Source organism: Homo sapiens, chromosome 6 (assembly GCF_000001405.40).
Source record: "Homo sapiens chromosome 6, GRCh38.p14 Primary Assembly".
Classification (NCBI taxonomy): domain Eukaryota; kingdom Metazoa; phylum Chordata; class Mammalia; order Primates; family Hominidae; genus Homo; species Homo sapiens.
Window position 1 is genome coordinate 133,953,080 of NC_000006.12, and position 27,369 is coordinate 133,980,448.

General features: G+C 38.1%; 2 protein-coding genes across 3 annotated transcripts in view, besides 3 other annotated features; both read left to right on the plus strand.

Annotated features, from left to right (window-relative positions):
• The window catches only part of TBPL1 (TATA-box binding protein like 1), a 38,259-nt gene that overhangs the window by 906 nt on the left and 9,984 nt on the right, over positions 1–27,369 (plus strand). Inside the window, exons 1-2 of one of the 2 annotated variants that reach the window (NM_004865.4) lie at positions 145–346; positions 27,003–27,181. In NM_004865.4, the coding sequence (NP_004856.1) occupies positions 27,047–27,181 (135 nt within the window). In that variant the 5' untranslated portion in view covers positions 145–346; positions 27,003–27,046. Of the gene's footprint in view, positions 1–144; positions 347–27,002; positions 27,182–27,369 lie in introns of those variants that run through there. The other variant, NM_001253676.2, reaches the window with a different exon arrangement.
• LOC128092253 (umcharacterized LOC128092253) lies at positions 225–27,009 on the plus strand. The gene is made up of 2 exons (NM_001414965.1): positions 225–346; positions 27,003–27,009. The coding sequence occupies exons 1-2, from the start codon at positions 225–227 to the stop codon at positions 27,007–27,009; spliced, it is 129 nt and encodes a 42-aa protein (NP_001401894.1).
• Positions 9,806–9,975: an enhancer, noted in NCBI's record as "experimental_90026 CRE fragment used in MPRA reporter constructs". NCBI's record gives its function as "activates a minimal promoter by MPRAs in K562 erythroleukemia cells, with activity observed for the introgressed 6:134284108 variant allele {active_cell/tissue: K562}" and the evidence as "EXISTENCE:reporter gene assay evidence [ECO:0000049][PMID:34662402]".
• Positions 11,594–11,763: an enhancer, noted in NCBI's record as "experimental_90028 CRE fragment used in MPRA reporter constructs". NCBI's record gives its function as "activates a minimal promoter by MPRAs in K562 erythroleukemia cells, with activity observed for both the introgressed and non-introgressed 6:134285896 variant alleles {active_cell/tissue: K562}" and the evidence as "EXISTENCE:reporter gene assay evidence [ECO:0000049][PMID:34662402]".
• Positions 13,947–13,996: an enhancer, noted in NCBI's record as "active region_25081". NCBI's record gives its function as "activates an Ori minimal core promoter by ATAC-STARR-seq in GM12878 lymphoblastoid cells {active_cell/tissue: GM12878}" and the evidence as "EXISTENCE:reporter gene assay evidence [ECO:0000049][PMID:35858748]".

The following is a 27,369-nucleotide window of genomic DNA, read 5'->3' on the forward strand; positions in this document are numbered from 1 at the left end:
AGTGACGGGAGCAGTGAGAGCCGGAAATGAGTGGCTAGCGAGGCACCCAGGAGCGCCCTGTCCGGCGGCGCTCTAGCCCTCGCGCACTGTCTCTATGCTCCCCAGCGTCTAGTCTATTTATTGTCGCGGGGAAGCTGCGGCCGCCTCGCACCCGGAACAACAAAGCAAGGAAGACGGAGTCCGAGCCTCGGGGGCTCCTAGCAACGGGCCGGGGCGGGAGTTCCATGGAGACTGGGGAGCGCGCCCGTCTCATCCTCATCCTTGTCCTCCAGCTTCTCCTTCGCATCCGACGCAACCGGCAGCAGCGCTGCCGCCGCGTCCTCAGCCACCGCTCCCTCTTCCCACGGTAACCCCCTAGGCGACCCTGGGCACAGGGAGCGCGGGCGGCTGAGCGGCCTGAGCACCGGGTGCGGGGCGTCTGGGCGCGGGGTGGGCATGTGCGGAGCCCGGGCCAGACTTGGGGTGGGATGTGTGGGGGCGGGCGACTGGAGGGCAGCCGCTGAGGTGGGGGAAACCGGTCCGGTGGCCGAGGGAGGGCTCAGTTCTGAAGAGGACCGGGCGATATTTGGGGATCTCTTTAGGGATAACGGGTTGGGGGTGGGGCGTCCGTACCTGGGAGCGTTACCGAGCCTGGTGTAGGATAAGAAAAGAAGGGTTATCTTTCGTTTAAGCCACCACTGGGAAAGACGGGGAAAAGAGATTCCTCATCTGTCTCGGAGCCATCACCCAGGGGAAGAGGGACCGTGCAAAGATGCTAGGGGTCCGTTGCTTCTCAGAAAACTTACAGCGGCTTCTCTAATAGCTCCCAAAAAGCGGCTTCGTCGGTTTCTGATTCTGGCAATGCCGGCAGCCTCGCTTTATTTTATTATTATTTTTGACCAAAATTAGGATTGATGGAGAAGGATCTAGAACTGAAGAAGAGAAAATGAATTGTGGGTAGGGCTAAGCAGGGATGAGAGTCGGGATAAGTGATAAAAATAGCCAATAAAAGCCCTAAAAGTAAATCTAATAGGGCATGAGGGCTTAAAAAGAAAATCTCTCCTGCCGAGATGTGCATCTGCAGGCTCTGTCAATGTGCTCATTGCAATAAGACTCAAACTGCAGTCAATCCACATCTGTGAGCTCTCTGACTGCATCTGTCACCTGCAGTTCCAAAGCGACACTGGCAGTAAGTGCATGAGCTTCTGTATTTAGGGTTTAGAACAGTGCCTTAAAACTGTGACTTAAGAAAAGGGAGCAGGTTTGCGTGTGTGTGTGTAAGCAATGTGGATTCTCTGGGAAAATATAAAAAGAGACATAAGAAGGTTCAGCCATCCTGGCATAATTTCGCAGTCTCTTTGAGAAAATGGCAGTTCCTTCCTATTGAGAAGTGACTGTTAGCACTATCTGGTTGAAAGGATTATTCACAGTTTGGTATGCCCAGTGAAATATCAGTTTATGTTACCTCTTTAGTCTTACATCACAAGCTGCTTAATGGTTTTATACTTTACAAAATCATTTTGGGTGAGTAAATGAGGTTTTCCTGTAGCACAATGAAAAGGCCACATATACATACAAAGTTCTTTATGTAAAGTTGAAGATTAAAGATGAAAATAAAATTGATAAATCATAGGAGCAATTAGGTCAACCACAGCTTCTGTTTGTTCCCCACCCCTTTTGTTAAACCTGACTTCTCCTAAGCAAAAAGGTGTCATCCTTTCCCCAGCCTCCTCTTTACGTACCCTCTGCCCTCAAAATCAGTATCAGAAACTCTAGTGACCTATTACTATGTGCCCTTGATTGGGCTGGCTTGTTCCTGAATGAGGGCTAGCCAGAATATAGCTTCAACTCAGGCGTTTTCATCTTAAGCTTTTAATATGGAATTGAGGTCCAGTGTCTGTTAAAGGAATTTCATTCATGTGTAAAGAAGTGGACAGGATGCAAAGTGTGAACATTGGGAAACTTAAGTTGCATTTTAAGACATTAAGAAGAAAAAGATAGATTAATGAATCAAAGACTGTTGCTTAATCTTTGTAGCAGTTCTGTGAAGGATATACTGGGATAGCCATACTTGAGGCTGTGGATGTTGAGTCCTGGGGTTATCTTTGTGCATATGAGACTTGACGAAGTGTCCCTCAACCTCAGGGCTGCCATCAGACTCACTTGACCCAGATCTAGTTTGCCGTTGTCTGTCTCTTCATTGTTTGAGTGAGGGTCAAGCCCTAGCTTCCACCTTTATTAACAATGCAGTGTCTGCTTTCCCTGCTCTCCTCCGCCCCAATACTCCCAACTTTGGTGGTAGTTTAGTTACTGTCTTTTCTTAATCATGTCCCAATCAAAAATGATTTTTTATGCTGTATCATTTCCGTTTCTTACAGCATTTTCAACATGTGTCCTTCGCCTGCATGTGCATTTCATTAATGTGATTTTATCTGTTGCATTTTCCTTCTGTACCCTCCTCTTTATTTGGAAAATTGGAGTGGTCATGTTAGATGTTCTGTATTCATTCTGAGTAACTGTTGGTTGTGAATACAACAGGTTAAGAGCCTCTGCTGAAACTCAAGAGCTTCTATTAAAATAAGGTATATTAAAATTTTTGAACTTAGCAGAATGAAAGACGTTAGAAGTCCAAATGGTAATACTGTAATTGTAGACGGTCACTTTTTAAAAAAGTATTGTAGAGCCTGTTCTGTGTTTTAAATTGAACCTTAGATTTTCATGATTCTTATTCTAAAAAAATTATTCTTAAAATCAATCTTGACTGAAATTATATTCTGCCAAATTTGAGGGAACTACTTATAGTAATTTCCCCAAGTTATTCTTAACATAGAAAATTGTCACATCAGCATTTGTGTGGATGAACACATATAAAATGCAGAATTTGCTATGAAGTAGAACAAATATTTATGAAACATATAGCTGAATGTTTTTGGAGAGAGTTATTTCTTCTCATGGACATGGCACATTATTTAAAAAAATCAGAAAATACTGTATAATCTAGTTGAGTGAACATGAGGACTGTTTTTAGATGAAGGATACCAGTAATAACCTAGGTGATTGATTTCCTTCTGTTTCATCATAGACCATGTGATGAAATTATTGCTATAAAATATGAACGTTGCAGTTGATTTTTAGAAGAATTTATAGTAGAATGTTTCCACATTGTCTCTGAGTTAAAATCTCTGGTGTTTTCAAATTTTAGCTGTATTGTGACATTCGAACTAATAAAGATTCCCTGAAACTTAAATCCATTTTGTTGTGCCTTCTGTATGTCTGGTGCCGTGTCAGGTGTGCAAAGCTGGATGAGAGAGGTATTTCCCTTCAGGTGCTTTTTGTGCACTTGTAGGTAGCAGAGAAATGACATGTGTGTAATAAAACATGACAGACACAAATATGAATTTTAAATTCTTTATTACATACTGCCTGGTACTGTCACTATTGGTGAATGGACTTCATCATGCCTGCTAAACTAGAAGTTTCTTGAGGATCAGGAGTATGAGTAGCCATCATCATATTGTATGTCCCTGCCCTGTGTGTGTATTTTGAAGATTACGTTGTTAATAGAAGGAGATACATGTTTGTTTATTTCACTTCAAGAGCTTAGCTAGTGGATGAAGGAAACCTTTTTGAAATCTGATTCTTGATGCCTAAAATTTCAACTTTGTATTCTGGCTGTGGGCATGCAAATTACAAGCAGTGACACTTTCTCAAGCATGATTACAGCTTCTAACCAATTCAAACAATAAAGATAATGGTGGACTGCCTTCACTTGAGTAGACACGATATTTGCTCTTGTCACATGACTACCACTTTGGGAAATTTCAAAAGGATGAGAGACTGTATACGTATCTGAGGTTTTTCCAGGCTACATAGACAAATTTGATTTTTGTATTATTAACCAGTCAATCTTTTCTTTAGAAGACAGATGGAGTTTGTGTATTTGTGTAGTTGTGAAAAAGCAAGATTCTGGAAGTATGTCTTTAGTGGAAAGGAATCAGGTCACATCAGAAATTCTACTTGTCTGTGACTAAAGGGTGATAAAATAGAGAATTTGGTTTAAATGGCTGGTTTTGTGGGTTGAAGCATGCTATGGATCCCATTAAATGTTTTTAAAAAAAAACTCAATAGGGTGATTTCTGGGGTAGTGGAGATGTGCCTTTGTGTGGGAGTCAATAATGAAAATGTTTAAAATTTCACCAAAAAGTACAGCACAGAAGTTTGGCTGTTGGTTACTTTCACCATCCATTAATAAAAAATACTGAAAACCAGACGGTGTGTTAAGGACAGAGTTTTCTTAGGACATATGTGGATGATTTCAGCATTGAATTGTGCTTAGCACAAGATAGACATCTGTGTGTAGACATTGGCCCATGGTATGTTTTTGTTTTTTAACTCACTAGGTGAGAACTTAAGTCTTACTTAAAAGCAGTAAAAAAATTTGTTTCCATTAATAAAATGGTTCCAAAGAATCAGGTGTTAACGTTCCCGCTCCTGATAAATTACAAGTATTTTCACTGTGAGACAGAAGAGTTTTGATCAGAATCAGTTACGTTTTCTTGAGATTGGGATTGGTACAACACTTAAAGAGTACGGACTCTGGATGCAGGCAGCCTGTGTTCAGCATCATGGCTGTGCTTTTAATTAATGGCATGGCCTTAAATATTAAATAGCTTTCTCACTGCCCTGAGCCCCAGTTTCCTCATCTGTACTAGGGAGTTAATACTACTACTACGTTACAGGGTTGCTGTGAGAATTAGCATAAAGCACTTAGAACTTTAGTTAAAAGCTTTAAAAAGTATTAGCAGGTGCTAGTAGCAGTGGCACTGGATATTATTTTAAAGGTGAACTGTTGGACCACTTGGATGCTTTGTTTCTTTGGTTGGGAGGCTTTCTACTAGAGCATTGAAATTCTTTCTTTCTTTCTGTTCACTGACTATTGGACTCATCTCTGCTGTTAGGCTTTAGGAGGGGGAAGTACTTTTTTTAAGTTTTGAATTGTCACACAGGCATCTGGTTATCACTGATGGCAGATGGACTAAGTAAAGAGAGACATCTCTGTTTCTTGGAAAAGGAAGGCCGACAAAGCCTGGGCTGGCACCATGTTGCAGCTATTGAAATACTATTTCCCTGTGGACTTGACTTGTTTAGCTGTATGATACTTCTGAATAAAAGGAATAAACCCCAATGGTTTCATTTAACAGAATTAGGCTTTCGTTAGAAGGCACTATTTTTTACTTGTATAACCTTAGTTGATGGTAAACTTGAAGCTTGTTAGTATCAGTGTAAAGCCATGTGTTGTGAGCTTTCTGTGCCACTATGAATGTTCTAATAGTAGCTTTTTTTTGTAATTTTAGAAGTAGCTAAAATTGCTGCTCTGCCCCAGTAATTCAGGTGGCTCAAGAATGACTTCGTAGGATAGCAAAATTATTTGTTTATGGTAAAGCTAAAAACAAATACTGAAGCTACCTAATCAGGAAAATAATTTGATAATTATAGTTTTGTTTAGGCTGCTGCTGAAATAATAGCTAACTTTAAAAAGTTAAGTCCAAATGTTTTAGTTTAGTTGTGTGGACATTGGAAACTGCTGACTAAAAATAAATGTTTCTGCCTAAACAAAGTGAATTGCAGACTGTTCTTTCCTATTCTGGCTAATAACCAGGTCTTAGTTTTTAGTTGAAATCCATTTTTATAAAATATATACTATAGAGGTTTATATAAAATATATTATTAAAAGCATATTTTGCTTTAAATGTGCAGGGTAAAGTGTTATAATTCCTTCTTCCATGTTGTGCTGGTTTTGTTTATTTGTTTCAGCTGGTTTTTATAAGCTTCCACACACTAAGGAGGTTGGCAAATATGCTTGTATTTAGAGGTGTGACTTTTGTTTTCCTGTTTAAGAGAGGAAATGATCATGACTGTTGCACCAAATAGATAGAGATATATATTTCCTTTAGTTTTAGATACCCTGAGGACTGTGCTGGGAAATTTTTTTTTTGTTTGAGACAGAGTCTCACTCTGTCACCCAGACTGGAGTGCGGTGGTGGCATCTCAGCTCATTGCAACTTCGGCTTCCCAGGTTCAAGTGATTCTTGTGCCTCAGACACCCAAGTAGTTGGGATTACAGGCATGCGCCACCACGCCTAGCTAATTTTTATATTTTTAGTAGATGCAGGGTTTCCCCATGTTGGCCAGGCTAGCCTCGAACTTCTGACCTCAAGTGATCTGCCTGTCTCAGCCTCCCGGAGTGCTGGGATTATGGGCAATGGGCACGAGCCACCATGCCTGGCCTGTGTTAGGAAATTTTTAGGAAAACAGGTTGCCATGGTATCAGTACTATAGTCCACAATAAAACTTGCCTGTTTTGAGACAAAGTTCTGTCTAACACATTGTTAATTTTTCTCTAGTGTTCTTTCTTTCTTTCTTTCTTTTTGTTTTGTTTTGGAGATGGAGTCTCACTCTGTCGCCCAGGCTGGAGTGCAGTGGCGCGATCTCGGCTCACTGCAACCTCCATCTTCTGGGTTCAAGCAATTCTCCTGCCTCAGCCTCCCGAGTAACTGGGATTACAGGCACCCACCACCACACCTGGCCATTTTTTTGTATTTTTAGTAGAGATGGGGTTTTACCACATTGACCAGGCTGGTCTTGAACTTCTGACCTCAGGTGGTCCCTCTGCCTCAGCCTCCCAAAGTGTTGGAATTACAGGCGTGAGCCATTGCACCTGGCCACCTAGTGTTCTTTCTATCACACTCTTTTTCAGGGACAGATGTTGCTGTCTTTCAGATATGAACATAATAAAGTCAATGTGTAACCCAAAAGTGCAAATATGAAGATGGAGATTTGATTTATGACTGTGGACAACATTTATAGGGCCTGTTACTGTTTGAAACTCAGTTAATGAACTTGAAGCTTTTGTGGAACAAGAACCACCCCATCCTTTTTAATTTGTCAGATGCTTCTGGTGAGCCGCAAGCGTTTTTCCTCTCACCTACTTATGGCTGCAGTGTGTTCCTTGGGCATTTCCAGTGACTTGTGTACATGTACAACCTAGGAAAGTTGTAATGAGCATACCTTAATTGCTTGTGGGTTGACCTCCTTCCAGGATCTTTGCTCGTTACAGATTAGGGTGGTTGCAGGGATCACAGACAACCATATTGAAGGCACAATGACTAATTCATTAGACCTTCCTCAACAGAAATTAGTGTGCTAATCTTAAAGGTACTCTGTTCTTTACTCTTCTTTTGTACTGAGGGGGGAGGCCCTCAGTAAGGGATGCTGAGTGGCTCAACAGATTAAAAAGCTATATTGCTAATGGAAATCTGTAGGTCTCAGTATAGCAGAGAAAGCCTTTGGCTGACCAGCCTTTTTTTTTTTTTTTTTTAATTTTAAGAAATTCAACACTACTCCTTGGCTGTGGCCAGTAATCTTGAAACTTCCACTTCAGTGCGCAGTACAAAACAACTTGGATAATTATTTAATTTGTCTGTACATTTAGAATGCATGCCTCTTGATTTACTCTTTCTAGGCTTTTGGTTTTGGCCTATTAAAATTAGAAGAGTTTCAAATGCCTGAAACAATATTCTGAATTTGTTTGTCTTGGTTATATATTTTTGCTGTCTCTTTGGGTATAGAGGAAAAATGGCTTCATCATCACACCCTGTTTAACTTTAACTGAATGGTTGATATCTTGGAAGTGACTGACAGGGTGGCCATTCTCTGATGACCGGCTATAGTGGAATTAGCTGTAGGCTATAGAACATGGGTGAGTTAGAACCCTTGGGGATGAAGAAAAGGAGACAGTAACTTTCAGAGGATGAGAAAAGGGAATATAAAAAATGCTGAAGGTCAGTAGGTGTGTTTTAATTAAAATAATTCTTTTCTTACATCAGAAATATATTTTTGTATTTGTAAAAGCTCCTGGAACACAGTTGCTCTTCAGGATTTGGGGGTCTGACCTAAAACCATTAGTAACTTGTTAGGTGTAGGAGCACTAAGTAGTATAATATACCAGAAAGTGAAGTAAGGGAAGAGTTGGATACTGTTGGAGAACTTGAGTCAGTTGAGGCTACTCAGATTCTTATTGCTATCGTGAAAGATATCTACTGTTTACACTTACCTGCCCCCAACCCCACAAACCATTTTCTCAGTTGTTCTTAAGGTATTCATTTAATTCATCAACTTTTTATTGAGTTTAGGACCAAATGCCAGCAATTCAGCCAAGTTCTAAAGACACACATTTAAATTAAACAGTTATCTTCAAGGAGCTTGGTGTCTGCAGTTCAGTAGACACTTATAACACCAACAGTACCATTCATTTGCTGTGCCCTCTGCCGGGTTGCTCTTCTCCCAGTGTTTCATATGGCTGGCTACTTCTTATCCTTTAAGATCTCTTTTTAAGATTCTTTCTTTCTTTTTTTTTTTTTTTTTTTTTGAGACGGAGTCGTGCTCTGTCACCCATGCTAGAGTGCAGTGGTGCAATCTCGGCTCATTGCAACCTCCGCCTCCCGAGTTCAAGCATTCTTCTGCCTCAGCCTCCTGGGTAGCTGGGATTACAGGTGCACATCACCATGCCCGACTAGTTTTTGTATTTAGTAGAGATGGGGTTTCACCATGTTAATCGGGCTGGTCTTGAATCCCTGACCTCGTGATCCATGCGCCTTGGCCTCCCAAAGTGCTGGGATTACAGGTGTGACCCACCGCACTTGGCCAAGAATTATTTCTTACCTCTTAAGAAAGTTGAAAGACCTTCCCTGGATCATTGCTCCTGAAGTTTCTCTTTCATTATCTCGTTTCCTTTATAACATAGATCACATTCTCTTGATTATTTTGTCAGCCTATTTGTTGTCTTTTTCTTCCACTGAAATACAACTGCCATGAGAGTTGCTTGCCTGACCATTTTGTTCTGAGCTGTATTCCCAGTGTCTACCCGCAGAGCTTGGTTCACATGAGTTGCATACTAAATATGCAATTATGCGTAAAAGTTTCCTAGTTGAAGGAGTGGGGAAAGGACGATTTAGGCAGCTATAAAACCGCGAAACAGTCTGTTATTGGAAGAGGAATGGTGTAAAGCTGAGAATGTTAAGGTGTGTTGGAAGTGGAAGATTAGGTTATATAAGGAAGATCGGGGGTGGGAAGTCCACTGCATTCCAAGGCAAGCAGATGAGATTCTGTTTTTCATTCTAAGAGAGCCAAGAGATGCTTCTTCAGATAGGGAGACAATTAGGAAGATAATCCTGGTAGCTATTTGGTAGATGGATTAGAGCATGGAGAATGCAAGCAGAGAGTTCTATTAGAAGCCTGTAGCCATAATGACATGTGAGCTGGCCTAAAATAAAACGTTGCTTTGGATGCAGAAAAGAAGCTAGATTAAAAGTTAACTGAGCAGAGGAGAAGAATGAGAGATGAAGGATGATTCTGAAATTTCTGGTTGAAGTGAGCGAGTGTTAATTGTGACTCACTCCATTCACAGAATTACAAGGAGATAGAGCAAGATTTCTTGAGGTGCTTAATGAGTTTTGTTTGTATGTGTCGATTTTAATAGATATGCCTAATAGATGATTGGGAATATGGATTCAGATATCTGATAGGTCAGGATAGATGTAGGAGCCAGCCATAAGCTCATAGATAGCAACTGAGGCCTGAAAAGTTTAAAGAGGAAAAGGATTTCAGGCAGTGGTTTATAACCTTTAGGGATCTTAAACCTATTGGTAATATGAAAAAAACAATGGCCTTCTCAGGTACAGATTAGTGTGTATACAATTTCAGGGGGTTCCTAACCTGTGGAACCTATTGTTGAGCTTTTCAGGGTCTGGCATGGATTTCAGTTAAGAACTTCTGATTTAAGGAACAGACAGAGAAGTATATGAGATGGGGAGAGAATTCAAGAAAGCTTCTTCAGAATCCAGGGATAGGACATGGCAAGGGAGCAGTTGGAGAATCAGAAGTTCCCAGTGCTTTATGCTCTAGAGTAGGAGGGAGTTTAAAGTGTGCCATTGAATTCAGCAATGAGCCATTCATTTGTAACATTTTGTACTGTGTAGAGGCAGAAGACAGATTATGCTGGTTTAAAAGCATGAAGTGGAGTTTGGGAAACAAGGGATGGTAAACAGAATGTAGAAGTCTTGATGTTCTCTGAAAAACAGTACTGATAGAAGAATAGAGCCCTTTTTAAGGATTTATGGAGAGGGAAATTCCATTATTTTAATTACCCTATGATGGTGTTTCAACCCAGTCGTTCTCAACTGACTACCCATTAGAAACATCTTGGAAATATTTTCAAAATTAGGGCCCTATCAAGGTCAATTAAATCTGTATTTGTGGGATTTGAGCATCTTCATAGTTATTATCTTGTTTCTGTTGTTTTGTCTTTTGGTCTTTTTATTTGTTTAAGACATAGTCTCACTCTATAGCCCAGACTGGAGTGCAGTGGTGTGATCATAACTCACTGCAGCCTTGACCTCCCAGGCTCAATCCTCTTGCCTCAGCCTCCTGAGTAGCTGGGCCTATAGGCACACACCACCACATCTGGCTAATTTTTGTATTTTTTTGTCGAGACAGAGTCTCACCATGTTGCTCAGTCTGGTCTGTAACTCCTGGCTCAAGCAACCTGCCCACCTTGGCCTCCCAAAGTGCTGGGATTACAGGCATGAGTCCACCAGGCCTGTCCTTGTCTTTTTCTTGATCGTTAAGAACCGGCCTGGCGCGGTGGCTCACGCCTGTAATCCCAGCACTTTGGGAGGCTGAGGCGGGCGGATCACAAGGTCAGGAGATCGAGACCATCCTGGCTAACGTGGTGAAACGCCGTCTCTACTAAAAATACAAAAAAAAAAAAAAAAATTAGCCAGGCGTGGTGGCGGGCGCCTGTAGTCGCAGCTACTCGGGAGGCTGAGGCGGGAGAATGGTGGGAACCTGGGAGGCGGAGGTTGCAATGAGCCGAGATCGTGACACTGCACTCCAGCCTGGGCGACAGAGCAAGACTGCGTCTCAAAAAAAAGAACCAATGTTCCAATCAGAAAACTTCCTTATCACTCTTGTGTGTTCTGTGTAAGAACCCATTCTTTTACTTGTATATTATCATTAAATTACTCACCCTACTGTTGTGGTAGTGTTCTTGACTTTCTCACAGACCATAATTTCAGGTTTTAAAAATGTATGGCTTTCTTCTGATCTCTAGCCAAGTTCTCTGTGTTTATCCTTTTTGAGTGACGCACCCTTCAACCAGTTACTCAGATCTGACAAGCTCTGAGTAAAATAAGAAATTCCTAATGGTGCTTACATGTGGAAAGAGTGTTCATTATGTAATCATGTTTGTTTTAAGTATATTTTGTACTGTTTTTTAAACCAGAAATGTTTGAACTGTTTGTTTTTTTTGTTTTGTTTTGTTTTTTTGGGTTTTTTGGGTTTTTTTTTTTTTGAGATGGAGTCTCACTCTGTCTCCCAGGCTGGAGTGCAGTGGCACCATCTTGGCTCACTGCAAGCTCCGTCTCCCGGGTTCACGCCATTCTCCTGCCTCAGCCTCCGAGTAGCTGGGACTACAGGTGCCTGCCACCACTCCAGGCTAATTTTTGTATTTTTAGTAGAGATGGGGTTTTACCGTGTTAGCCAGGATGGTCTCGATCTCCTGACCTCGTGATCCACCCGCCTCAGCTTCCCAAAGTGCTGGGATTACAGGTGTGAGCCACCATGCCCGGCCGAACTCTGTTTTATTTTCCCAAGTAACTAATTTCATAATCTGACCTTCCTTTTCTTAAAATGGCATTTGTGCATGACATAGACCTTAAACAGGTTGTCTATGCTAGAGCATTTTATATGAGGGGTAACTCTATAAAAACAGTCGAAACTATGAAAATAGGAAGTTTCACCCGTTGTATTTTCCCCATGCAGTACTTTCTCTTGATTAAATTCTTGATGAGTTATCAGTGCTTCAAGTTTGAGCCCTGCATTCACACCCTTGAAATAAATCAGAATATAGAGAGGCTTGATCTTGATGCATGCCAATTCTGACACCAACTTATGAGAAGATTTATTCAGTCTTTTAGCTACCCTAGTGAATTAACATTTACACTTGTAAATGAAACTAATAATCTTTTAAAAATTATGCTGTTTTGTTAGCATTAATTTAATGGCTAAATTAGTCTTACAAATTATAGTCACTTACAGTAGCTTAGGACAAATATCAAACTTCTCAGTAAAGAGATGAAACTTTTTAGCTTTTAAAATTATAGTCCGTAATATGGGAAGTAGGGGCACATATAAGACCTGCTCAAGAAAACAAATACCTTACAATTTAAATGAAATGAACATCATAAACTTGTATCACAATTTAATATCCAAACCCATTATGCTTCTAATTTTCCTGCTTTTTTGCAGGTACCTAATGAAGTAAAATCTAGCATAATACCTATTTCGTAACATGTAGTAGATTTGGTCAGTCTTTTCCTGTTTCATTTGCCACCTTCCCTGTCCCCACTCCCCTCAGCACCACCAAAAAAGAACCCCATGATCAACAACTATTTGCTTTGATTTGATGGTTTTGTTATTGTTGGAGTTTTGTGGGTTTTTTTTTTTAATTCACTGTTAAATTTAGTGCTTTTTTCAGTACTCATTTCACTTAACAGATACATCAAAGTTGTATTCTTTATTTTTACCACTTACTTTTAAACTTGAAGGAATATGATTTGCTTTTGTGTTCCAAAGCTTGAGGACTACAGTGAGTAACTAGAAATCCTTTCCATTTTTGAACATTTCTCCATCCATATGAAGAAAGGAGATATAATAATAGTAACAATAAGAACAGCTACATTTGAATGCTTGTCATGTGCAAGTACTGTGCCAAGCGCTTTATATGAAATTTAATTTTCACAACACTATGATGGGTTCTGTTTATCTGCCTTATTTTACAGAGGAGGATATTGAGGCACAAAGGTGTTAACTTACCCACAGTCATATGGCTAATAAGTGGTAGAGTCTAGATTTAACCCAAGCATTCTGCTGAGCTCTTCAACTTCAGAGACAGAGAGAGACAGAAAGAAACAGAGAGAGAGTGTGTGTGCATGTGTGTGTGTGTCGTGTGGGTGTGTAAGTAAACATTGCTTTTTAATAACCTCAAGCTTACAGTTAAACTCTGCAGACATTTTATTGAATGTGTATGGCGCATTGGGAACTACGCCAAGGCTGGGGTACAGAAATAAAGAAGATTTGATCATGCTTCTGAGGAGCTTATTGTCTACCAAGGAGACTATAAATAGGAAACATTTTACCATAGTTTGTAGTGTGGAAAACTGTGATATAAGTATGTATAGTAACATTACCATTGACCAAATGGGACTCAGAATAGGGACACTCTGGCTTAATATTGAGGATCAGATTTCTGAGTTCCTTTGATTTTTAAATTTCACCCATGATGGTTTTAATTACCTTCTGTACTAGGATTTCCAAATTTTCATTTCCAGTCTTAACCTAGACCTGTCCTGAGCAATGGACTTTTAGCTGATTAACTGCTCCGTATCTCCTCTTGGATGTCTCACAAGTTCCTTCAGTTCAAAATGTCCAAAACCGAATTGTTAACCCCTCCTACCTTTCTCATCTGCCCTGCAAACCTGCCCTTTCTCCAGTGTTTCCTATCTTAGTAAATAGTATCTTAGGCCACAAACCTGCAGTCATTCTCCATCTCCCTTTTTTCCATCCCCATATCAATCAGAAAATTCTGTTCACTCTATCTCTTAAAACTGCCTGTCTTGTGTCTACTACTTTGCATTTTCAAACCACAGTACTACCACTGTGGTCCGTCCTGTCATCTTGCCTGGACTGCTGTGCTACCCATTCTTCTCTTTCAGTCCATCCTCCCATTGCAGAGTGGTGGTGATACATTTTTATAATGCAAATACGTGATGTCAGTTCTTGCTTCTTTTTTAGCTAACCACTACTTTTGAGATAAACATGAAAATTCTGAACGTGGCATAGAAGGCATGATTTGACCCCTCCCTGCATTTCTAGCCTAGTCTTATGCCACTTTCCTTTTCACTTTTCTCACCGTAGCCATGCTGATTCTTCCTTCAGGCCTGAGCAGTTCCTACTCTTAGCTGAGAACATCTGCTGTTTCCTGAACCGAGTCTGTTCACTACCAGGTCCCTATCCCCTAGTATGGGTCTTAATGCTTAGATTTCCAGTTCATTGTTATAGAATTGATTGAATGAAGGTGATGCTCAGCTGTAGAACAAGTGGGAGTGGATCACATGTAGAAGTGGGCATAAATCATTTTCAGCAGAATGAATTAGATTAAGCGGGCAAAAGGTTAATATTCTTTATATATTAGAGCTTCCATAAATCAATAAGAAATCTTAGAAGGAAAATGAACAGAAGATAGGAGGCAGCTAACTTTAAAGAAATACAAATGGTTAGTAATATAGTCATGCATCGCTTAATGACAAGGATGTGTCCTGAGAAGTGAGTTTGTCATCACGTGAACATCATAGAGTATAATTATATAAACCCAGACGGTAGAATCTACTACACACCTGGGCTATGTAGTATAGCCTATTGCTTGTAGGCAGTGAACCTATACAGCATGTTTCTTTACTGAGTACTGTAGGCAGTTGTAACATAATCATAAGTATTTGGGTATCTAAACATAGGAAAGGTGTAGTAGAACTACGGTATTATAATATTATGGACCCCTGGACCAAAACATTGTTAGGCAGCACATGACTGTGTTTGAAAAGTTCACCCTCATTAGTATTCAAGGAAAATCAATTAATTCAGTATTGCTGCTTTTCATATCTCAGGTTGTCCAAGATTTTTATAAAATCCTTTGCTGACTAGGTAAGACAGCATGTGCGATCCCAATCTTGTTTCATGTGCACAGACAAATATATGGATTTAGAGCCTAGGACCATGTGCTTATATGAGCACAGGAAAAAAGCAGTTATCACTGTTAGGATTATGGGTGACTATTTTCTTTTTTTTTTTTTTTTGAGACAGAGTCTTGCTTTGTCACCAGGCTGGAATGTGGTGATGCAGTCTCGGCTCACTGCAGCCTGCATCTGCCTCAGCCTCCCCCAAGTAGCTGGGACTACAGGCGCGTGCCACCACGCCCAGCTAATTTTTGTATTTTTAGTAGGGACGGGGTTTCACCATGTTAGCCAGGATGATCTCGATCTCTTGACCTCGTGATCCACCTGGCCAGGTGACTATTTGAGTATTTCTTATATAATCAGAAAATGACATGCTATCTTCCTTAAATCTTGTATACTTAGACAGTTTATCTGAAATATTAAGAAATCTATCCAAAATAAAACTTGCTTTTATATAGTAAGGAATCATATGCCAAATTTCTCATCTTTGCGTTTGAATTTCCAAATGTAAGGTTGTAGTCAGTAAAATACACTTTTTTCCTTTATCCACAATAGTATATTAGTTAATATTATTGTTAGCATTCACTAATACATTGCTTTAATAGAGCATATCAAAATTTGTGAGTTTTTTTATTCTTCAAAACAATCATGAGAGGTAAATGGTATTGTGTTTTACAAATGAGAACAGGAGCAGTTCAGAACTAGTCCACTGTCGTGTAGCTTCCATTACAATTGATGTCTACTGTCTTAGCATCCAAGTTTTTTGTTTTGTTTTGTTTCTTTTGAGATGGAGTCCGCTCTCGCCCACGCTGGAGTGCAGTGGCACAATCTCTGCTCACTGCAGCCTCTGCCCTTGGGTTCAAGCAGTTCTCTTGCCTCAGCCTCCGCAGTAGCTGGGACTACAGGCGCCCACTGCCATGCCTGGCTAATTTTTGTATTTTTGGTAGGAGCGAGGTTTCACCAGGCTGGTCTCCAACTCCTGACCTCAAATGATCCACCCATCTTGGCCTCCCAGAGTGCTGAGATTACAGGCGTGAGGCACCACTCCTGGTCAGTATCCAAGTTTTCTTACTTTATAGATATATTTTAGTATTCGTCGAAACAGTGAGAATCTTAACTAGGTTACTGTTTAAACATTATTAAGATGAGACAGGTTTTCAATTATATCTTCTTATATTGCAAAATATTTCATTTTTTCAACCAGAATTTTTGCATGAGAATGTAAACCATTGAACTTATCTTTTCTTAAGCAGTCATTCAGAAAATCAGTATCATTTAAATCTTTCCCCATCACCTTTTAGACACCATTACAAATAATGTCATTGACTGAACCATAAAATACACTTTTTTTTTTTTTTTTTTTTTTTAGTAAATAGATGCTGGCAACCTCAGAGTTGTTGACTAATTTCCATTAAAAAATAGTACCTTGTAGCTTTCTTAATATAGATTTTTTTAACCATAATTCACTTTGATACAAAATTATTCACATGAATGCTACCTGCTTAACAGTCTTCAGACTGAATATCTAGATTGAGTCTCATAGATAGTAGGTAGTCATATGTAATGAAGATAGTTTAACTTTCTGTTTAACTGAATGTAATGATGCTTTTTGTACATCAAATACTTTTGCTTTCACTTAAGCATTTGTTAAATGTTTTACGGGTGGTAAAATATACAGTCTTTTTCTTTGGAAGATTCAAGGTTTTTTATGGCCAGGCAAACTTGGTAAAATTTTCTTCATGTGGCTAGACTATAAAAATGCCAACCCTGTGGACTGACTCCTAAAATGTCCTCATGATAGAATGTCACCCTGCCAAACAAGTTCAAGGTTTTCAACTGTTAGACCTTAGTGCATCTAACTCTCTCCCATTACTGCCCCTTTGAACACAAATGCATGCTGAAGGGGAAGTGGTGAGTTCAGAATTGATGATAATTTATCTAAACTAACAGAATAATTCTAGAATTAAAATGGAAATTTACTGTATAATTCCTACATTTGTCTAGAATGTATCTTCATCTAATATGTTAGGCTCCTGGGATTTTAGAATTAGATGGGAATCTTAAAAACCATCAGTCTAGTCTCATCTTTCACCTAATAGAAGACTTGTTTTGTGCCACTCCTAACTGTTGGTTAATTATCTAGCTCTGCCTTCCCTTTTTGGACACGAATCTTCTGGGGAGCCCACCACTTTGCAGTGTTAAGTATCTGGTTTTTTGTGTGGCTTCATGAGATCTTTCATGTGACCTCAATTGACTCTGTCAATTTTCTTTTTTATTCAGTTGAGAACAACTACTCTTTTTCCATTCTTATGCTAAATGTCCTAAGATTTTCTTCACACAGCTCACTGTTTTTATATCTCACACCATCGTACTTTGCTTTGGATATTTGGAAATAATATCTTTAGTATCTTTAAATAATAATTTGATAAATTCTGGATACTGTAGATATTTCAATAGCAAAGGCTATTACTCTCTTTGGTCTGGACATTCTTATCTAACCTAAGTTTATGTGTATATGTGTTTGTTTAAGTAATACAGTACATTTTGAACCCCATGTTGTCTTAATATAACCTATTATTAAATAAAGTCCTAATCTTAAACAGCTGTTAGAAATTATTATGGAAACTTTTAGGCAGAAATGTGGAGAGAGTAGCATAATGAACACTCATATATCTGTCACCAAGGTTTGTTTTTGTTTTGTTTTTGCTTTTTTTTTTTTGAGACAGGGTCTCACTCTGTCACCCAGGCTGGAATGCCGTGGTGCCATGATAGCTCATTGCAGCCTCAACCTCCCAGGTTCAGTGCACCTCAGCCTCCCAAGTAGCTGGAACCACAGGCATGCACCACCATACCTGGCTAATTTTAAAATTTGTTGTAGAAATTGAGTCTATCTGTGTTGCCCAGGCTGGTTTTTTATTTTTTAATTGACACATGATTGTACATATTATACATATTTATGAGGTACAGATTTGTTGTATAGTGATCAAATCAGGGTAGGGCATCTGTCACCTCATGAATTTATCATTTCTTTGTGGTAAGAACAGTCAAAAGCCTCTCTTCTAGCTATTTTATGATATACTTTACTGTTCACCATGGTCACCCTACTGTGCAACAGAACACCATAACTTATTCCTCCAATCCAATTGTAATTTTAAATCAATTGACCAACCTCCGTTCATTCTCATCCTCTTCTCCTCAGTCTCTGTTAATCGCTCTTCTTTCTGCTTCGATGATAACACTTTTTTTTTTTTTTAAGATTCCACATACAAGTGAGATCATGAGGAATTTGTCTTTCTGTGTCTGGCTTGGTTTATTTAACATGATGTCCTCCAGGTTCACTAACGTCACAAATGACAAGATTTCTTACAGCTGAATAATATTCACATTTTCTTTATCCATTCTTCCACTGTTGGACACTTAGATTGATTCCATATCTTGGCTATTATAAATAGTGCTGCAGTAAATAGCGAAGTATAGAAATCTCTTCAACATCCTGATTTCATTTTCTTTGGATATGTATTCAGCAGTGGGATTGCTGGATCATGTGGTAGTTCTATTTTTAATTTTTTGAGGAACTTCTATACTGTTTTCTATAATGGCTATGTGAGTTTACTATCCTACCAACAGTGTGTAAAGTATTCCCTTTCCTTCACATCCTCACCAATACATAGGTGTTGTTGTTGTTGTTGTTGTTGTTTGTTTTTTTATAATAGCCATTCTACCTGGAGTGAGGTGGTATCTCATTGTGGTTTTGATTTGCATTTTCCTTATGATACGTGATGTTGAACATTTTTTCATATACCTGTTGGCCATTGGTATGTCTTCTTTTGAGAAGTGTCTGTTAAGGTGTTTTGCTTATTTTTTAATCAGATTATTTCTTTTGCTGAGTTGGTTGAATTTCATATATATATTCTGGATATTAATCTCTTATCAGATATATAATTTGCACATATTTTCTCCTGTTCTGTGGGTTGGCTTTTCACCCTGTTAATAGTTTCCTGGGCTGTGCAAAAGCTTTTTAGTTGGATGTAATCTCTGTCATCTTGATCTAATAATCGTTAAAAGGTAAAGCAGTAATACAGCATTTTTTGGTGCTAAAATACTGTGATAACTACTATACAAGTCTGTGCTTTATCTTAGAATAGATTATCCAAATTTGTTTGGTGGCAAGATTCCAGACATCAAGAGTCATCTGAAATTGTATCTCAATGTATTTGTTACTGAGTTCAAACAGTGAAAGATTTTAAAGTTAAATTGCAGACAAGACATTCCCCCAAGTATTTGAGTCTACATCTCTAAAAAAAGTCTGTCTACATAACCACTCTATTTTCTCTTCTAACAAAATTAACAGTAATTTCATAATTTCATGTCACTCAGATCTATTCAGATCCACTCAAATCACTCAAATTTCTCTCAAATATCTTTTATACTGATTTGTTAAAACCGGGATCTAATCAAGGACCATGTTATACAGACATTTTGTCATTTTAATTAAAAATAAGGGCCTTACATTTATCAGTGATAAATTTTATTTTGTTGGTAGTGCCTCTTTGGGCTTGTCCAGTAATCAGCAAACTTTTTCTTAAAGGGCCAGAGAGTAAATATTTTAGGCTTGTGGTTCATTTGGTTCTTGTCACAACTACTCAGTTGTGCTGCGTAGTCATTATGGAAACACACGGGCATGGCTGTGTTCCAATAAAACTTTTGCAAAACAGGCACTGGCCCATTGGCTGTAGTGTGCTGACCCTTGCCTAACCTATTATGATCTTGGTGTTTGTTTGTTTGTTTGTTTGTTTGTTTTTTTCCCCTCATCTGTAACTGTTCTCAAGTTTTGCATCAATTCATTAAATAATACAATTAATATTCAACTATTGGTGAATCCATCTGTCAGTAATAGCCACCATTTAATGAACACATACTGTATGCTATATACTTGGCATGGATAATAATATTTAATCCTTAAAAGCACCCTGTGAGGTACAGGTGGTATTATCACCAATTTATAGATGAGAAAATGAGGATTTAGAGAGCGGTTAGGTAAGTGGCCCAGTGTCACATAGCTAAATGGGAACACTAGGTCAGAGCCCCCTTTTATAAGGCTTATTTTATACTATCAAACAGATACGAAAGAACATCGTTCTAAAAGGCAAATGTTAGCTTTTCTTCATCCTGATTCTAGGCATGTGTTGAGAGACTGTCAAGTAATGTGTTGGGATTGGGACACAAAATGTCTATTTCCTAATCTACTATTTGGGGAGCTTTATAAAGGATGTGAGGTTACTTTGAATGGCCTGTCTTTCTTTTAGAAAAGAGCTATCTCTAGGAGACCATGTGGGTTCCTATTGTGTTTGCAAATCGGTCTATTATCAGTCCTCCCCTGCTTCTGCCATTTCTTAGATCATAGATGGTAATTTTGTGGTTAGAACCTTAGGGCCCATTCCCCTGTATCCTCAGCTTCAACTTGAGTATACTTTAAGTAGCTAGATTCTTCTTTTCTGTATTCTCAGGTTTATTTATTCTCTTGGCTTTCAATTAGATTTTAGATTTATTTTTGCTTCGTTTTTATGACAGGGTTTATTGTGGCCTTTCAGTTTAAATATCTTTCCTGGTGTGGAAAATTTTAAATGCAGTAGTCTTTGATGCAATTTGTCGTAAAAGCCAGAAGGTGGCGATGTTTTCCATTTAAGGTTTCAATTCATTGTAGTTGCTGGAGTAATGTTTTTGAATACCACTAGAAAGAGGACCAAAAATACAGATGATGTGTTCTTGTACACAAAATCTTTGAGTGAGGAAGAATGTGCTTTAACTTCTATGATGTATTTTAATAGAAAGCTAGAAATATGCCACTTCCTGAAGGGCTACAGTTTTGAAGTTTGCTTTTTTTATGAGAAGATATTTGACAAATCACACTAAGCCATTTCCTTGAGAAACAGGACAAAACACCTGATCAAGCTATGTCTTAATATTAGGCCTTGGGCAGTGGGCAAATAATTGGTATTTGTATTTAAATCAGAATGGGAACAACTATTTTTCTTATATTAAACCTAACATATATATATATATTTGTTTTTTTATTTTAAAGCATCCAGACTTTACCAAAAAAAAAAAAAAAAGTCACCCTGCTGTGCCAATTCTCTGAATAGAACAGTTGTTAACATTTTGGCAGATATAACTATGTAAGTGCATATGTAGATACATAAGCCAAAATGAACTCATAATTAGACATATAATTTTTTCTACTCTGGCAAACATTATGGACCTCTGTCTACATCTCTACATCTGTCTAGCTTTATAATTTATAAACTCCATTTAGTAGTCTATTATATAAGACTGTACTGTATTTAACTAGTTCCTTTTCATTGGATGTGCAGGTTGTTTCTGTTATAAATAAAATTGCCATATATCATCTTATTATACTTTGGTCAGTTCAGTTATTTCTTTTTTGAGATGGAGTCTTGCTCTGTCACCCAGGTTGGAGTGCAGTGGCGCGATCTCAGCTCACTGCAACCTCCGCCTCCTGGGTTCAAGCAATTCTCCTTCCTCAGCCTCCTGAGTAGCTGGGATTACAGGCGTGCACCACCACGCCCGGCTGATTTTTGTATTTTTAGACGGGGTTTCACCGTGTTGGTCAGGCTGGTCTCAAACTCCTGACCTCGTGATCCACTCACCTTGCCCTCCCAAAGTGCTGGGATTATAGGCGTAAGCCACCGTGCCCAGACGAGTTCAGTTATTTCTTATTGTTACTGGTTGACTATAGTTCCACATATATTTACATTTTAAATTATCTGAATACACACAGCCAGAGTATCTCCTATAGAAAGTTTTTGTACCAGACTGTAAGAGAACACAGATTTACTCACACTTTCAACATCGTTTGATATTTGCCAATATAAGTAAGTGTCATCTTATTCTTTTAAGTTAGCATTTCCTCAATTACTAGTAAATGCAAAGAACTGCTAAATAAATGATTAGTCTAAGAAAAAATGAATTTTAATATCATTAGAATTAAGGGATAATGAAAACACATATCCAACTTCAGTCACACCTAAGACACTGGGTTATAATTGTCTTAAATGTTTATACAAGAAAAGACAGTTAAAAACTAAAGTATTAAGTATTCAACTTAAATACTTTCATTTAAGAAATTAGAAAAAGAATATATTAAATCTGTGGAAGGAAGGAAACAATGGACATGGGCAAAAAATTCACTAGAGAGGATCAGCTACTGATAGTTTGTTCTGAGAAGAAACCAAAGTGGAAAAAAAGCAAGATTGACGAGAGCAATAAAAAGCAGGAATAAATGATACTACAGTGAAAAAAGGGTAAGTAGGCTACAACAGAGACTTTAAAAGATTATTAAGACAACCATGAAGAATTGTATGCCCAGTAAATTTTAAAATTTAGAAGAAATGGAAAATTTAATTAAGCAAAATAGACTTGAAGAAAACAGAGACATGAATTATTTTAAAACTCTTAAAGAAATTGAATTTAAAAGTTTAAATTCAATCTAATTTAAAAATTAGAAATTGTCTTAAAAATTTATCAAACAAGAAACAGTTCCAGATAATCTTCAGGTAACGTCTTCTAACCTGTCTTCCTGAGAATTAAAAAAGAAAAAAGAAATAAGCCACCTTAAATTGTCTAATGAGTCTAGTATAATCTTGATGCTCAAACCAGATAAGGACAATACAAGAAAGGAAGAGTATAGGCTAATTCTACCCAATAACTAAATGAAGTATTAGCAAACCAGATTCATCAATAATCTTTTAAAAATCAAGAATTAATTGGATTTAGGAATATAACACTGTGTATAACAAGTTTAAGAGAAATATATGAGAATGATAAGACTGCAATTGAAAGTAGAGGCTTTCTCTGGAGGGAAAGGTGAGGAGGATGTGATTTGGAAGAACAGCATGGGGAGGCATCAGTTGTATTGTAATGTTTATTTTTTAAGCTGAATGATAGGTACGTAGATGTTCATTGTGTTCTTTTTGCCTTTTTGTATATCTTAAATATATGGTAGTGCCATGATTAGCAGGCTTAATAGCCTTGTGAGTTTAAATGTCACTTTCAAATGCTGTATTTTTGGTGGAGTTGCTTAAACACATTCCCCTTGGAATCTATACAACCAGTTAAAAAAATCATGTATAAACCACCATGAAATATAATGAAATGTACTGTATATGCATTTTCATGAATGTTGTGTCAAAGGGCTTGTAGGAAAAAAAGATCGTTAACTCTTTTGCATTCAGTGAAAATAGGTGGCTTTGGAAATAGTTTCAGCCTTGCTAACAGTTTTTTTTTCATGCTTAGAATTAAACGAAATAATTTGGAATTCTAGGTAGATGAGAAATTTAATATAGTTAAGAGTTTGAAATGTTCGATTTCATAGCGTTCATACACCAAATAATTGAACATTTACAATGTTTCAGATACGATGTTGAGTCATGGGAATATATAGACCTATAAAAGAGTCTTTCACCTCAAGAAGCTTAGAATTTAGTAGGGGAAATAGGTGATTCTGGTGTTTAACTGTAGGTACCATCATAGTCATAAACAACTTGGAATATTTGTTCCCTTCTGGGAATTAGTTTCCATCTTTCCTTTAGCTGTTTTATTGTTTTTCTTGTTTTAATTTAAACAAAGTGGTGAGTCTGTGTTTTCAAGAATAACCTAAGCCTTTGAACTACTAATATTTAGTTAGACCTGTTTAACCCATCGATAAATTATGTCACTACACTTAAAAATACAAGGGACATGTTAGGCAATCAGATGCTTTGTAGAAACTGAGCTATTTGTCGGCCTGGCGCGGTGGCCCACACCTGTAATCCCAGCACTTTGGGAGGCCGAGGCAGTGGCTCACGAAGTCAAGAGTTCAAGAGCAACCTGGCCAAGATGGTGAAACCCTGTCTCTACTAAAAATACAAAAATTAGCTGAGCATGGTGGTGGGTGCCTGAGGCTGAAGCAGAGAATTGCTTGAATCCAGGAGGCGGAGGTTGCCGTGAGCCAAGATCGCGTCACAGCCCTCCAGCCTGGGCAACAAAGCGAGACTTGGTCTCAAAAAAAAAAAAAAAGAAAAAAAAGAAATTGAGATTTGTCTGTTTCGTTGGACTGTCATTCTAATTATCCTATTGAAAAGGGATATAATATGTTTAGCTTTAGAAAGTAAATCTTTGTTAATATCCAGTTCTGTGCTCTCGTTCTACAAGACAGATGAACTGATTGCAAGTGGACCTTTTTTCATGCTTCGAAAAATGTGATCTTTTATGTAGGTTGCCTCTTTTAAAAAAGTACTGACTTTTTATATTGCATCTTTAATTGAAAACTTCTTATTAAAGCAATCTTTTCTGAGCCTGCTTTTCAGGTTACTCATATTATAAAAATATGAATACTTAGTAACTTATGAACTATTCCCATGACCTTATTTTTAAAATTTAAGTTGCTGAAATGATGAAAAATCACCAATTTTGAATTTCAAGGCTTCTTTTTTGCATTCACACAGATTTTCTTTACCCCTTTTTTTCTTGACTTAGTTTTACTTATATTGTCCTTAGTGTTGTCCCCTCAGGCAGAACTCAAAGTAGTAAATTCAGAGTAGAGTAGAACTCAAAGTAGTAAATCTGAGTCAATTTGTTTTCTCCTGTTTGATATAAAAACAAGTAAAATAGTAAATTTGATAGTTGATTCGCATGAAGTTTCTTCTTCAGTAGTTGCCTTGTGGTAGCTTATCCTCAAGGGATGTGCAACAGTTAGGATTAGGTTTGGCTGTATATCACAGAAATCCAACATGAGGGAAACTGATTTTTCTCTCATACTCATGAGGTCTAGAATTAAGAAGAACAGGGATAATAAGGAGATTCACAGCGTCAGGGGCCAGGCTGCTTCTATCTTGTTGTTCTACCATCCTCATCCTCATTGTCTCGTGGTGCAAAATTGGCTACTTGAGCTCTAGCTCTCATATCCAACCTCTAGACAGCAAGAATGAAAAAGGGCAGAAAGGCAAAGGAGCCCTTGCTGGCTTAGTTGGTTGCTCTAAGTAGACTTCCCAGAGGATACATAACCATTTTATTTTATGTCTCATTGACCAGAACATATTCAGGTGGCCAGTTGGCTATACCAGTTGTTGCCAGGGAGGCTGACATCTATAGTATTTTATTTCTGCCACATTGTACCCAGCTAAACATCTGAGCTCTGATCATTATGAAGGCAAGGTGGAATGGATGTTGGGGTAAGCAGCCAGGAGCCTAGCAGAAAACCTGCTGCTGTCCAGATGGCTCAGTAACTGGGCTCTAATGTAATCATGGGAAGTAGTGCTAAGAAATCCTCTGCCTGTTGATTTGAACTTATTTCATCAATAATTACTGTCATTTACTGTTACAATATCCTAGATATATATGCTAAGTACTTTTCATACATTATATAATTTTCACAACACTGCTGTGTGGTAGGCATGGTCTATTCCATGTTACAATATGAGAACACTGAGACACAGGTTACATAACTTGCCCAAGTTCTGATAGCTATTAAGTGGTGAGTCAGACATTGCACGTGCTTAAGACCAATGGTAATAAACTGGCCCTGTGCCTCTGCTTTTTAATCTGTCTGCTTATATATCTATCCATCAGTTCCTATTGTCACCCCTGCCTCACTCCTCATACGTAAAAATTATTTGAGGTAGCTCAAACATGCACAAATAACAGAAAAACAAAAAGATACACAGATTGAGGGGAATATGGGAATACAAGAGTGAAAAAATATAATGAAGTTGAGGTACAATTGATACACAGAATTGAATGCCATATGGTCTTATAGAGGTGTCAGAAGTCTTGGTCTGGTTTGCCACTGTGTTCTATCAGAAACTTAAAGGCAGAGAAACAAGACCTTCTTTATTTAGACTCTTGGCCCCTTCACTGTTTTAGTTATATAATAATTTGAATCCTTATTATAAAGAATACTAGTTTTTTACATTGTGGCTGCAAGGAATTTTAAAAACAACTATAGTATGTTTTTATCATTTTCTGATCTTTTTGTGAGTTAAGTCAAATTGCCATTGTTTATTTTTTGAAGTGTGAAAATGCAAAGAGAGAATTTTTTAGCTGGGTCATGAGTCACGTACTTAGTAAAAACTGGGGCTTGTTTGTTTGTATAAATCATAGGAGTCTCGGCAAATACATGTTGGAAGATTCTGATCTTGATAAAAATGGTATTATGCAAATTACTTGGTAGAGCTCCTCCTGTACACCCAAGTTTGCAAACTCCTTGAGGACAAAAGACTTTGCCTTAATCATTTTTTTCCCTCCATTATCTTCAGTGTATAGGTGTTCAGAAAGAAAATAATGAATGAATGGTTAGTAATGAGAAAAGTCTGTTAGTAAATGTTATTCATATTTTTGCTGCTTTAAACTTAAGTCAGTTACTCTGCTTGAAATAGAAGTATGTCATATTTTTTATAGTACCAGCAAGTTGCATGAGAAGGGTTATATGCCACTAATGGTTAGACATTGGAACCAGAGTCCAACCCTTGAACGTGGTGCATTTGGGGATTTGTCATTACTGTGGTACACCTGGAACGTAGTGTTTGTAGAGGTGAATAGCAGGAGATAAGTCTGGCAAGCTCCTGTCAAGTAAAAGTTACTTTTTAGTTTAAGGAATGAAAGTTAGGCCTAGATTTTGAAATATATTAGATGTCATGTTAGCTTTTTTAAAAATGACATTTTTAGTGGGGAAAAGAAAGGACATGATTTGGTTTGTTTGTTTTGACAGAGTCTCACTCTGTCTCACAGGCTGGAATGCAGTGGTACGATCTCGGCTCACTGCAACCTCCGCCTCCCAGGTTCAAGTGATTCTCCCACCTCAGCCTCCCTAGTAGCTGGGATTACAGACATGCACCATCATGCCCGGCTAATTTTTGTATTTTTAGTAGAGACCAGGTTTCACTATGTTGGCCAGTCTGGTTTTGAACTCCTGACCTCAGATGATCCAACCACCTTGGCCTCCCAAAGTGCTGGGATTACAGACATGAGCCACTGTGCCCGGCCAGGGACATGATTTGATTCTAGTAACATTTGAAAAATAAATAATATAGATTCATTTTTTACATTTCAATTTCAAAATTGTGAAAAGTGAATTAACAACATTTAAGTTTAATGACTTTATTTTGTTTTATTTCTCAGGATGTGATCTTCGTGGTGGAAAGCTAAATTTTAAAACCACCCCAATGGATGCAGACAGTGATGTTGCATTGGACATTCTAATTACAAATGTAGTCTGTGTTTTTAGAACAAGATGTCATTTAAACTTAAGGAAGATTGCTTTGGAAGGAGCAAATGTAATTTATAAACGTGATGTTGGAGTAAGTATCTGAGTTTTCGTATTTGTACTACATAGCCTAATTTTATAGTTCTATGACTAATACTAAAATGTATTCATTCTACAGATAGTTTATGAGCACCTTACCATGTGCTGGTTGTCCTGGATACAGAAGTGAGCCCTGTAAAAGCAATCCCTCCTCTCATGGAGGTGCAAGCTTTTGTACATAGA